Source organism: Homo sapiens, chromosome 10 (assembly GCF_000001405.40).
Source record: "Homo sapiens chromosome 10, GRCh38.p14 Primary Assembly".
NCBI classification, from domain to species: domain Eukaryota; kingdom Metazoa; phylum Chordata; class Mammalia; order Primates; family Hominidae; genus Homo; species Homo sapiens.
The window spans coordinates 212,543-226,555 of NC_000010.11; the positions used below are offsets into that span (position 1 = coordinate 212,543).

At 35.7% G+C, this 14,013-nt stretch overlaps 1 protein-coding gene across 38 annotated transcripts in view; it reads left to right on the top strand.

Annotated features, from left to right (window-relative positions):
* Positions 1-14,013, top strand: part of ZMYND11 (zinc finger MYND-type containing 11) — a 124,550-nt gene that overhangs the window by 82,455 nt on the left and 28,082 nt on the right. For 19 of the 38 annotated variants that reach the window (NR_163254.2, NM_006624.7, NM_001370119.2 and 16 more), the window contains one exon: positions 8,653-8,814. The exons of the other annotated variants lie outside the window; for them this stretch is intronic. Coding sequence is in view for 18 of the 19 variants with exons in the window: in NM_006624.7 (NP_006615.2) it covers positions 8,653-8,814 (162 nt within the window). In the remaining variant the exon portion in view is untranslated. The remainder of the gene's footprint in view (positions 1-8,652; positions 8,815-14,013) is intronic. 38 annotated transcript variants of the gene reach the window in all.

Genomic DNA, 14,013 nt, shown 5'->3' on the forward strand with positions numbered 1-14,013 from the left:
TCAGATCCAATTCAAGCCTTTATTTAGTTATGCAACCTTGAGGAAATTTCTTAGCCTCTGATCCTCAGCCCTCAGCTGTCGTATGGGCATATTAATATCTATTTCATTTGATTGTTTGAAAGATTAAATGAGATTATCTACATAAAGTGTATAACCAGGTACTCAAAGCAAGTTTTTGACCAATGAATAAATATGCTTACAACAAAAAACGCCTGTATATAATATAGTAAAAGCACATTAGTTTCTTACTAATTATACAAGCAAAAATTCTACTCAGGGTCTTTTTACTTTTCAACCTGTATTCTCAAACACAAGACTTGTAAAGAGGTTTTCCATTAGAACACTGGATCTTTATTTAAAGTGTAACTCTAAAATAATGAGACAAATTATATGTGTATTTTGTTACCTTGGCTGGGGTCCCACCTGGCTACTCAGCGACTGTCCATGTGCCACAATTTTCATGCCCTGATAACACTCTAGGAGGAGGACATATAATTGTTTCCCACTAGGCACAGCACATGCATCTCGTACTGACCAGCTTTGTGTACTTTTTTTAATGTATGGCCAGTGCGTGGAGGTTGTTGCATATGGGGGTGCCAGATGTGAACTGTACAATTTAGGAAGCCCCATCCACATCACAGACATTGTATATTTGCCTATTTATTCAAAAGTCACCAGTGCATTTATTCTAATAAATGAACATACAACAACAAGAGTGTCTTATGGAAGGGCCACCTTTTCTAGTTTGCACATGGTGTTCTGTGGGCTAATGATTGTCCTACATGCCAGCATTTGAGTCTGGGGCCCATGCTTTATAGTTTTACCACCTTATATATAGGATGAATCACTTTGATGTCTCTAAAAACTTGACTTTTTAAACTGAAAGATGTATGTTGTAATTTATCCATCAAGAAAGGAACATGACAAGTAGATGTATATGGCCTTAGGAAGGGAAGGCATAGGATGTTTTTGGTTATCTATTTTTAAACGTTTAAGTCAAAGTTACAAATATTCTTTACTTAGGCAGTTCTGTTATTTTTTAAATGGGTGGTAAAGCTCTTTTTTTTTCCTTCTGTTATCTCTAAAAATTGCTGTAAACTCAGGTGGGGAAAAGGTGTATTTATCTTGATAAGTCCCACAAGTTATATCTCCTGAGATACTTTGTATCAGCAAAGAGTCTGGACTCTTGTCTTCAATTCCACAATTCTGTTGATAAAGAGAAAGTAGACAAAAGTGCAGTTTTCTCTATGCTGCCTATTACTGATGGAATTTAAAAGTCAGAGTTTGTTGGTGTTACATTTTTATTTCACCTCTGCTACTTTTTTTCAATGCTTATTTTTAAAAATTTGAAGCAATTGAGAAATATGCATATATTGAACAAGATTACTTTTATGAAATCTAGCAATCATGTAACAAAAGCCTAACTATATAATATGTCAGGATATAGTTATAAATAATCCAAGTGGAAGCCTATATATTTTAAGGCCAAGATAGTGACCGCATGGTGCTGAGATTCCTTCTTTTGGACTGCAGTTATTTTAGGCATTTTGGGATGCTGATCTCAGCCACCGTTTGCAGCCCTAATGATCACATAAGTGATCATTCATTTGGAGAAACTGTGGTAAAATTAGGTAATAGATAAGCATCTTTGTGGTAATGTTTTAAATATGACCATATGAAATGGTAGAATGAAAAAAGTAATTATTTAAAGTAAGGCCACTCCCAATTTTAAATGGTTTGCTCAAATATTAGTCAAGCAAACAGAAGTATACGTACTGAGGAGCCAGGTGTGATGGCACACACCTGTAGTCACAGCTACTTGGGAGGCTGTGGCAGGAGGATTGCTTGAACCCAGGAGTTTGAGTCTAGCCTGGGCAGCGTAGCAAGACTTGTCTCTTAAGAAAGTAAATGCATAAAAAATTGTGTGTGCCAACTAGTTTCTACACTCTATGGTCATCTCACACTTCCAGATTGGTCTGTCATTACCATTTACTCATAGGGTCCACATAATTCATTTAAAGGTATTTTCATAAGCTTTTAAAATTATATTGGAAAAAGACCGCAAGACCAGGCCACTGAGTGAAATTTTGTGATATCTGGTCATTCAATGTTTTGTTATTTCAAGACTTTTTTCTTTTGATTTTTTAAAAGAAATGCTCTATGTCCTTGTAGGCTCATATGTTGCTTCATCTGCTTGCTCTAGAGCAAGACACATGGATGGCTGCACTAAACCCTTATTTCTTCACAGTATTTCACCACCTTTATTCTTAAAATGTGAGAAGTGTATTTCTTGGACAGAATTTTACCATTTGCTGGGCTAAGTTACATTTGGTATTTAGCAGCTCTCTGTGATAAATATAAGTTAATATCTTACGAGTTATACTCTTAAGCAATAAGATACTCACTAAAGATGAGAAGGTCTTAACAAAGGCTTTAATGTAATACACTAAGGCAGGTCACCTTAAATGATGGATCATTTGCAGATAAAGCATATCAAATAATGTCGTTTGCAATTGAGGCGGTTAGTGTTAATTTGGTGACTTCCAACTTTATTGACAGCCCTTGGCACAAAGCTAGAATATTATTTGACAGATACTTTTGATCTCACATTTAATAATTTAGTCAAGAGTGTTGAGGATGACTTAAAATATTAAAAAGTGATCTTTGCTGTAAAACTACTTCTCCCTTTACTTACCTACCAGGTTTGGTCTCACAGCCTCATTTCCTTGTCATAGTTAATGCCAGGACAAAAATAATATATGAGTTTAAAATATTAAAAAGTGATGTTTGCTGTAAAACTACTTCTCCCTTTACTTACCTACCAGGTTTGGTCTCACAGCCTCATTTCCTTGTCACAGTTAATGCCAGGACAAAAATAATGTATGAGTTTAGGAACCACGTTGATACTTTTGGTTAAAGTCCTTCTACCGGTATGTTTTGCTGCTTGTGACTCAAGAGCAACTGCACGCATGATATTATACTACTTTTAAATAGGCCTAGGGGGCATCTTTGTTTTTTGTTTTTTTTTTTTTTGAGACAGGGTCTCCCTTTGTCACCCAGCCTGGAGTACAGTGGCGCAATCATGGTTCACTACAGCCTTGACCTCCTGGCCTCAAGCAATCCTCCTGCCTCACCCTCCGAAGTAGCTGGGACTACAGGCATGCACTACCACACCCAGCTAATTTTCTCATTTTTTGTAGAGACAGGGTCTTGCTATGTTGCCTAGGATGGTCTTGAACTCCTGGCTTCAAGTGATCCTCCTGCCTCAGTGACCCAAAGTGCTGGAATTGCAGGCATGAGCCACCATGCCTACACCTTTTTAAATGAAAAGGTAGAATTCTGTGTCTTTTGCTTTTTCTCATTTAAGGCTTTTGACACATATTAAAACAGCATAATTAATGAAAATATATATTTTCTGGCTTCTTAAAGAGATTAACCTATTGGGGATAAACAAGCTTAAATCTTAATTTACAGAGGGGCAAGATAGACCCTTCTTTTCTGTCATCATCTGTTCCTCCCACCTCAAAATGCCCAGTCTAAAAAAAGTTTTGGGTTATATTTCTCTTGAAATTTAGCTTAGCTCACATCTTTTAGATAGGAGATAGGAATGGAATTGATGGCTTTATTCTTCAGAACTACCACCGTAGGCAGCCATGGCAAGCAGGGGCGCCCTTGCGTTGTTCTTGAGGAAAATATTAAGTGAGGCTAAATTCAAACTGAGCCTGACTCCCCAACCCCCACAACCCTTTTATATATATATGGCATATTACAGTGAGAATTTCTTTTTAAAGTTTTAGGTCTTTGTCTTTTTCTTGATAAAATTATAGTTATAATAGTTGTCATAAGTTAATCAATCGTATGTTTTAAGTGCCCTTAGTGCAAAATTTGATGCCCCTTGGATACTGTTGATTTATTTAATATGAAATATACCTTTTGTTAATTTTTAATTTTTATGGATAGGTGTATATGTTTATGGGGTGTGAGATACAACTTACTCTATTTACGTTACTTACCGCAGAACCACATATTTCTTCCAAATGTCCATGCCCTATCTTAGTTACAAAAACACAATCATTTGCCAAGTGAATTATCGGTGATTATTAGAAATCATTTATACTGTGGTTCTGTGTGCATTTAAACTATAATATACTTAGAAATTATTCTTGCTTTGGTAAAATACTTTCCTTCTTATTCAAGAGGATTTTTTGGGTCATGCTGTCTTGTTATATACTCTTTTAAGTTTATTATGATTGTGTGTGTATATGTTTGTTTTTTCTTTTTCCTTCTGTCTGAATTCTGTTGCACTGAGCAATGTTGTAATATTTTTATTTTAAATATAAGTAATATTTAAAATTACTGGAAATATGTAACCATCAGATTATTATCTCCTAATGATAAACAGAATTTGTTAATTAAGCTAAACCTAGAATTGTAGACAATTATTTTTACATTGCATCTACATTAAAATGCTATCTCAAACACACATACTTGGTTGTGTAATATTTATCTACTCATTAAGTAGAAAGAGTAAATTAAAAATTGCTTTTGGATTATTGATGAGGGTGGATTATACTTTAGAACACTATTCAAACAGTTCTTCCACATATCTCCCTTTTGACTTGACTGAGCAACTCTCTTTCTGTGCTTCGGTTTGGTCTCTAAGTCAGAGTTAATATTTCTTGCTCTATCTAGCATATAGAAGCATTGTGGGCTGGGTGCAGTAGCTCACACCTGTAATCCTAGCACTTTGGGCAGATTGCCCAAGCTTAGGAGTTTGAGATCGGCCTGGGTAACATGGCGAAATCCCGTCTCTACTAAAAACACAAAAAAATTAGCTGGGTATGGTGGCGCACGCCTGTAATTCCAGCTACTTGGGAAGCTGAGGCGCAAGAATTGCTGGAACCTGGGAGGCGGAGGTTGCAGTGAGCCGAGATTTCGCCGTTGCACTCCAGCCTGGCGAGATTCTGTCTCCAAAAAAAAAAAAAAAAATTGTTGTGAAATACAGATGTGATAATGAATTTTAAAATGCCTAGCAAAGAAATGTGCACACATATATAATTATAAGCATGTTCTATCATTTTGTGACTTGGTCAGTTCCTGTTCTGTGCACTGAGTAGATAATAATAACAACACTTCCTGGGTGCTCACATTGTGCCAGGCACTCCCGTAAGGACTGTCTGCGTATTGACTCATGTGATTCATAGAAAAACCGTGTAGACTGCGTACTATCATTTTGTTCATTATATAGGTAGAAAATGACACATAGAGAAGCTAAGCATTCTGCCTGAGATTATACAGCTGCGAATGCCAGGGCCAGGATTTGAATCAATCGAGCTCCAGAGTCTTAACCAAATGCTATGTGAATGACAGAGACTTAGATCAATAGGCTGCTGCTAGAGGTGGATTTTTCTACTAGATTCTGAGGACAGCCTGTATAAATTTCATGTTATGGTGAGGTATTGAGTTGACCACACTCATATTCATCATTTCCGATTTTTAGAGAATCCAGTGTGAACCAGTTTTAAATTAATAAGACATACATTCATGTCTTACGCAAGTTTATAATGGCACTGAATTTATTTATTAGCAAAATATTTTTCTAATATCATTATAGTTTTCACGGTACATTGGCGGGAGATTTTCTCTATGTCCATTTGTAGCTTTTGTGTTTGTTAGTTGAAACGTTTCCTCTACAACTAGTAATGACTCTTATGTTTGCATGCTTCTGTCTTTTCGTTATTAATTAGCACATTGATAGATTACCAGTTAATATCATCTGTAAAATAGTATAAGTCATATAGGAAATAATAAACAGTTTGGCCCTGTGTGAAATCCCTTTAGCCCTGTGTATTGCCTGACATTTAGCAAAGTTAAGTAGCGAGACCAAGATTATTTTGTTTTTATTTTGAAAGGCCTATAGTATGCAGCCTTTCTCCAGGACAGCAGCCCCAAACAAGGTGAACTAATTTTGCACTATGTTATTTTACTATAATTCTGCTTTATTTTTTGTATTGTAGTTTCTCTTTTACCTTAGGCTAGCTTAGTTAACTCTTGCTAGATTTGTTTGTTAAAACCATACTATCTTTACATGGCTTCTAATTTTGAATTTCATGCTAGTAGGTTTGCTATTTAAAAGCTTTCATGTTTTGAATTGGCATTTCACATACGCTGTTACTCAGGCTATCTCTAGAGTAGCTAATGACATCTGGGGGAACCAGTGAAAATGCAAACTTAGGTTCTTTGACATACATGTTTGAGTGCTAGTCAAAAGCATTATGTAAAGGATCTCTATTTACCAAAAGACAAATTGTAGGCAACCTGTCCTATAATCAACATGCCTGTATGATTCATCCCTCAGGAAAATGTTTCCTGGATTCAGAGTCTAGTAACTTTGAACTTGACTTTTGCATGTTTTGCATATTCTGAACAGCTATTGCCGTGATTAAAACAATCAACAGCACTGCTTCCCCAGCCCATACTTTCTGTCTGAGAATAGAGTTGGTTATATGCCATCATATAAATGTGTCCAGATGTTTCTCTTTTACTTCATTTGAGTTATACTTTCATTTCTGTAATTGGTTATGAAAAACTAGGTCAAGAATTAAACACCCTATCAAAGATCCATTTTTATCTTCATTTAATGGGTGGATGGGGAAAGGGTAGGGATGCAAAGAGGTAAAGGTAATGTGGAGAGGCCAGAGGTATGCACAGGAATTATACTCTTGCTTCCTTTTGTTAATTAACCTAGTAACTACTATAATATTTTGCCCAGCACATGAAGATGAATTAATGTAAAAAATTCAAGTGATGAATGATGGCAATTTCTTTTTAATATTGAGTCAAATATAAGCCACCAGAATCCCTTAAGATGTTTTTAAAACAGCTATGAGTATGAAGAAAATATCCTGAAATATTTTGTCTTAACTTTGGAAAGAGTACTGTTAATTAAAAGTAGAATAAGATATCTTATTTCCACCAAAACCTAATTTGTCAATGATTTTTAATATAATAATTGATAAATTGAAATAGCTAAAATGAAGCTTACATATGAGCCCATCTCAAATGGATACACCAAGGATGACTGTTTTAATACAGCCAAGCGCCACACACATATATTGTTGTCTGTGTGATGCCAGTGTGCCCAACTTTGTGCAGTACATCATTTTGTGCCATGTGCAATCAGGGTTTTATGTAAAAATCAGTATTTTAAGATTCCAGCCCAACTGAAATTACCATACCAAAGGAAGTTTGCAGAGTGTATACATCTGTAGCAAATAACTAAAAATGGTCATTGTCTTTTTATTACTTTGGTCAACACAGACTGCCAATTTCTTAATAAAAAGCAAACCGGAAAGTTTACATTTTTGCAGGATTTACTGCCACACTCTAGCCATGACTCTGGATGTGGTTTGGAAGACATGAATTTTTGAACATTCATGTATCTCTTCTCTTTTGAAGGACTGGGTAGTCCTTCATATCTGGCAGTCAGATATGGTCAAGCAGTAACATGTTTGAACCTAGTTTCCAAAGAAGTTGCTGCTTATGGAGTGAGTGCTACATGAAAGCCCATTTATTGGGGGAGTACTGACATCAGAGAAAACAGTAAAGCTGTTCCACCTTGGAAACCGTATAGATAACAATTTATAGAAATAAAATTGATGGTGGAACCCAAATTTGGAATGTCAGGGTCCCTACTGGAAGTGGCCCTGTTTATACTAACTGTGGACTTTACCCTTGTTCATTTGGTTACTACATCTACAAATAAAGTTGAGAATTAACTCATCACTCTTAGCATAAATATATTTTAAGAAAAGCTAAGAGTAATATTTATAAATAATGAATTCTAAATTAAGAGAACTTCTAACACTTGCTTTGTATACTTAAAGGGTATTAGCTGTATAAAAAAAAGGTGTCAAAAATAAGAACATGTTGAAGAATGCCTGTGTACCTACAGTTGTGTTCTTTTATTTCTAGGAATAGCCCCAGTCAGGAAATAAGGCTACTTCCTTTTTTGTTTTCTGTGGTAATCTCCTTTGGATAATGTGATTAAACCTTTAGTTTCACAGTTTCAATTTATTTTTCCAAATTCAACAGCTCTGAAAATCTGACATCCTATCAGAACATGGACATTCTGATTAATGGTTATTTTCAATAAAACATCCAGTGCCACAGATGAGAAGATAAGAATAGTGAGCATCACCAGTTATTACTATTCTCTCTGTTCCCACAGTGTGTCAAGGACTGTTATATATATATATGTAAAGCAGAACAAAACAAAGGTTTGTTTATTTGAAATGCGAAGCTATAGGTTGGTTTGGGGTTCTCAGTTTACTAAAGAAATTATTCCTTAGATTGTATTTCAAAATGAAAGATAACATTAGAACTGGAGTTGGCTTTGGACATACTTCATTTTGGACTGGTTTTGCTATCACATTATCTTAAGATATTTCTGAATATTACCACTGTTTTAGGAAAGATTTTAAAATTTAAAGCAGCAACTTTCTAGGTATTTTCCCTCTTGTTTTAACACAGTAAATGTCTTTAAATTGTTTATGATGCCTAACTTCTGATGGACATTAGTTTCAATTTTGTTCTTAGTCATTGCAGATATTGACAAAATGTCATACAAAACTATTTTGTACTTTTTTGTAGGACTGGGAAACAGAAAATCATGACTGGTATTGTTTTGAATGCCATTTGCCTGGAGAGGTGTTGATATGTGACCTGTGTTTTCGTGTGTATCATTCCAAGTGTTTGTCTGATGAGTTCAGGCTTAGAGACAGCAGTAGTCCCTGGCAGTGCCCAGTTTGCAGGGTGAGTACCTATGAGCTTTCCTGTGCTGGTTAGAGGGTTGGAATTAATTCATAATAGCTTCAAAAAGATATCCCAGGTGGTCTTGCCAGGTGAACGGATAAAGGACTGGAGGGTGGGGGTTATCTAATGAAATGATGATACTCATAAATGGACATCACAGAACACATACACCGTATTTCAGGGTGTGGATTTTAGAAAGTTTTAATCACGTAAAAATATATCCTCTTCCCTTCCCTTACCTGCCTCTGGCTTATGTGACTAATTTAATGGATGGCCTTTGGACATCAGAAATACGAAACCTACTAACATCTGTTCAATAGCTACTTTGTAATAAACTGTACAATTTATGGTATTCAGGAAACAGTTAGCAAAAGGCACATTGTTGGGGGCATTCTGTATCTATTTCCCATTTTATATCCATGTAATGTTGCCTTTATTTTTGTCATATCATGAGTTTGTTTTTTTTTGCTTATATTTTATTTGGAGGGTGGAGGGATGAGACATTGTGTATAAAGAATTCTAATTATTTTTTTAAAGTAAAATGAAATTGCCCCATAGGTAAAAAAGGTACTTTCCACAATTACTTTTATTCATTGATCCCACTGAGGAATATACATACTGTGATTGTTAGTTGCAGAATGTGGTATGTGTGTGTATACGAGTGATATGTGGTGACTTATTACATATGGCATCGATGGTAATAAGGAATTATTTGATTGCAACCTCTATTATTTTATACTTAACTATTAAAATACTTATTTGGAACCATGCACATTGTTGAGATTACTCGTGATTTCCAGTTTGTTAATATGCTTTATAATAACTTGCGTAATTTAAGTATTTTTTTGCTTTTTCAAAAAACATTTTTTCATAACTTTTTCCCTCTCTGGCATTAGTCGAAAATTTCCTGTTAGCATCATAAGCAAACTACAGTATATGTTCTAGTCTTCTAACTGGCTTTGTATTGCCTAAGTGTACTTAGCCTTGCCATATACGTTATACTTACTCATTAGGCATACAACAGGCAGTTGGGATAGCATTTTAAAAAATGTTTAATGATGACTTGCCACTCAAATGCCTAGGTGCCAAATAAGTCATGTCAGTTCCCTAAGTCTGAGTAAATCAGTATCAGTTTTCAATATGTAGACCTCCTCTTTGAGGTCTACAAGAATGTCTGTAAGAAATTAGTGTAAGTGGTGCTCTAAGTTTCACAATTTGGAGCAAAGGAGCTGTATTAATATTCATATTTTATTCTCTTGTGGATTTCGATTGTACATTTTAAAAGCAAATATACATCTTCCATTTTCTGATAGAAGTTTACCCTAGGGGAAGTAGAAAATTAATGAGATCAAAAAAAAAAAGAGGCAATGTTAGTAGTCACATGGGGATCCTAATATGGATGCAGGAATTAGGAAATACAGCTCTGGGTATGTCTGTGTCTCTACAGCCATTGCTCTTTTGTATTTAATATTTAATTCTTATTTTCATAGTAAATAACTTAAACGAAAATACTGGGACTTCTGAGGACAGGTTAAGCTTCTTTGTAGATATTTTGTATTTCTTATGGTAAGAATGGGAATTGAACAATTATTATACCTTTGAAGAAAATGTTTAATACTTCTTCCGTCAGAATTCACTATCAAGTTGTCTGATTCCATTTTGTGTTTCCTTTACTCTTTTTTTTTTTTTCTGAGACTGAGTCTCTCTCTGTCATCCAGGCTGGAGGGCAGTGGCATGATCTCGGCTCACTGCAACCTCCACTTCCTGGGTTCAAGTGATTCTTCTGCCTCAGCCTCCCGAGTAGCTGGGATTACAGGTGCGTGCCACCACACCTGGCTAATTTTTGTATTTTTAGTAGAGACGGGGTTTTGTCATGTTGGTGTGGCCAGGCTGGTTGGTCTTGAACTCCTGACCTCAAGTGATCTGCCCACCTGGGCCTCCCAAAGTGCTGAGATTACTGTTGTGAGCCATCGTGCCCAGTCTGTGTTTCCTCTACTCTTTACTGAATGGATGAAATTTAAAAAATTTTTACACTGTATTGGCTCACACAGAAACATGATTACCCTATTCTGTTCTGTTCTTCTCTTTTCCTTTCTTTTTGCCTTTGTCAATCTAGACATTTTTATACTGCTATATAATTGTGCTTACTGAAATGATGCTGTCAATAAAAATCTTGAATTTTTCATTCATTTTATGGTATGTGAGCTACTCCCTGCTAAGGCTCAAAAACCCTGTTTTCTAGGGTGAGGATGGAGAGTTTTATCTTGAGCTTTAAATTTTCCAAAGAAATAGTTATTCATTTTAGATCCATTCTATTGTTTTATGGTATTCAAGAAAAAGATAAGTACTAACAATTCTTTTCCTTTGAGAAGGGGTAATAATAATCTTGAAATTGTAACGGAGTTTTTCATATCTTTAAGGTGAAGTTATTGGTTGATTTGTTTTAAATTTTAAATATAGTGTCAAAACTTTGAGTAAAGCCGTTTTTTAGGAGAGTGACCAGATTTAAGTAATCATGGACTAAGAGAACCTAGAGTCTATAGACAGAAACTCAAGAACTGTGGTTCCGAATCAGAATAACTTTCTACTCTGTTTTTTTTTCAATGTTTGGAAAAATATGGATTAATTAGATATGTTGATAAAGAATGATGAAGATAAGGTGCCATAGCCAAATTCCATATGGTAAAAATAATAAATGGAAGCTAACCATTACTACCTAAAACTGACAATGAAAAGAAGCCCTTTTCTAAGAGTTTGCAGTGATTGGAATACTATTCACTCTTACATTCCTTTCTCTCCCTTACAGTGTTGAAAAAGTCACTGAGAACAGGTGTTCTGTCTCCTAGCTGTCACCTGTGTTACCAGATTTAATTCAGCTCAAGCAGCTTTATCTTACGTATCTATTTCTGAAATATTTTAACAGGACAGTAATAGGCATTTTTCTCAAAAATAATTTTGTGACTTTTCATAATAAATCTCTAGAATCTATAACCCTAAGAATAGTTCTTTGGAATGTCTGCCTTTCTAAAAAATAAACTTTTGCTTTATGGACACAGTAGATTATTATTGAAAAGTAGCTTATTAATATCAGATTAGATTTTACTTTGAGAAAGATTTAAATACTGTCCAGTTTCACACTTTTACTGAGATCTCTCTCATTAAATTTTAGAAAAGAGATTTTAAAATTTGCTATAAAAAATTCAAATAATTTAGGATAAGAAAAAATTCCCAGAAACCGTATTCCATAGTAGGTAATATTCTCACAGACTTCTTCCTGTGTTGGTGTGTGTGTCATTTTGTTTGTATCTGTATCCACATGACTTTACATTAATTACTGGATGTGGCTAGTGTGTATGTACTCGACAGTACCCCAGAATGACCTTTTTTTGGCACCTGTTATGATTTGAGAGGGCATGCTGTAACTTATGTGACCAGTTCCTCATGTAGCAGGTGTTCATCATTTCCACTGTTCGGTATGGAAACACCTGTCAAAGGTGACATATGCAAATGCTATCCTGGAAATCATGCCCCATTTCCAACTTCTGAGGAGGAGTCTTCTCATTATTATTTATTTCTGCATGAAACTGAAGTTTATATTTTGTTTTATTTGAATTTTATTTTCCTGAAATAGCCATGAATTTTCCAGGAAAAAAATAAGAAAATCATACTCTTTTGTGAAAATTGCTTTTAAGATTTTAAGATTTTGTTTACAAAAAAGAAATACCTTTAAAACACAATATAGTCCATTGCATTTTTTAAAGATAGAAAATTATATACATTTATGTAATTCTGTCTGAACACCTTTGGTAGGATAAGTTTATTAACATGGGATTTTTAGGTTTAAAGGATAGTGTACACGTTTAAATTTTTGATAAAAATCACTGACTTGTTCTTCAGAGTATTATACCCATGTACATCAACAGCACATGAAACTATTTGTCAATTTTTTGTTGCCTATTTGATAAGATGAATTTTTTGTTGTCGTTGTTTTTTTGTTTTTTATGTGTGTTTTTAGGCAGGATCTTGTTCTGTCACCCAGGTTGGAGTGCAGTGGCACAATCATGGCTCACTGCAGCCTCAACCTCCTGGGCCAGCCTCCTCCTGCCTCAGCTTCTGAGTAGCTAGGACTATACGCACACACCAGTATGTGTGGCTCATTTTTAAATTTTTTTCTGGAGACAGGGTCTCGCTGTATTGCCCTGGCTGATCTTGAATTCCAGAGTTCGAGTGACCCTCCTGCCTTGGCCTCCCAAAGTGCTGGGATTACAGGCATGTGCCACCATACCGGCTGTCTCATTTTATTTTTGCTTCATTTTCATATATATAGTTCCCAAATTACAAAGTCATTTTATACTTTGAAGGCATGGTTAGAGACAGACGTGTGCTTGGACCTGCGTATGTGTGCATGTGCTCCATGCTTGCTGGCTTGCAAGCCTGCTGGTGAAAATCATGATACTGTAATTCATGGGCAAGGCAGTCTGTCATAAGAAGCCCCTGGGCAGCCAGCCTGCTGGGGTGGCACATTGCCTTGTAGAGCAGGGCTGTTCGAGAGCTTCTTTGGTGGTGGAAAGGGTCTCTGTGCTGTGCAGTGTGAGCCACTGACCTTGTGTGTCTGTGGAGCCCTTGAATGTGACTTGTAGACCAAAGAACTGGATTGCAGTTTGCCACATGGGGCTTGTGGCTACCATATTAGATAGTGCAGTTTTAGAACATTCATGTTCTAAATGCCTATACCACTCCAAGAAAGCATCTTTAGGTATAAAATACTGATCTCTTGAGAGTGCCTGGCATTTGTCTCCCCATTACGCCAGAGTTACGACTTGGAGAGTTCTTAAAGAAGCATATAACTACTTGACTCCCCACCCTTCCTCTCCCTAGTATACACAGCAGATTCTATAGCAGACACTGCCCTGCACAGATTAGTGGCTATAATATCTGATAGTGTTGCTTTTGCTCTAATGCCTCATAAAAAGTCTGTCAGCAGAATAGCTTTTTAAAAAACTCTGTAGCAAAACAAAGTGTAGATTTTTTTCCCCAAAATAATTGGCACTTTTTAGGTTAAGAATTTGGAGACATGGTTTGAAAGTAGGCCCCTATTTCCTCCTCTTTAATATGTGCATGTTTCTTACATAAATGAATTTTGATTTCATAACTTAGAGGAGTTGTAGATTCATGTTATTGCCCCTATTTAAATTCAGA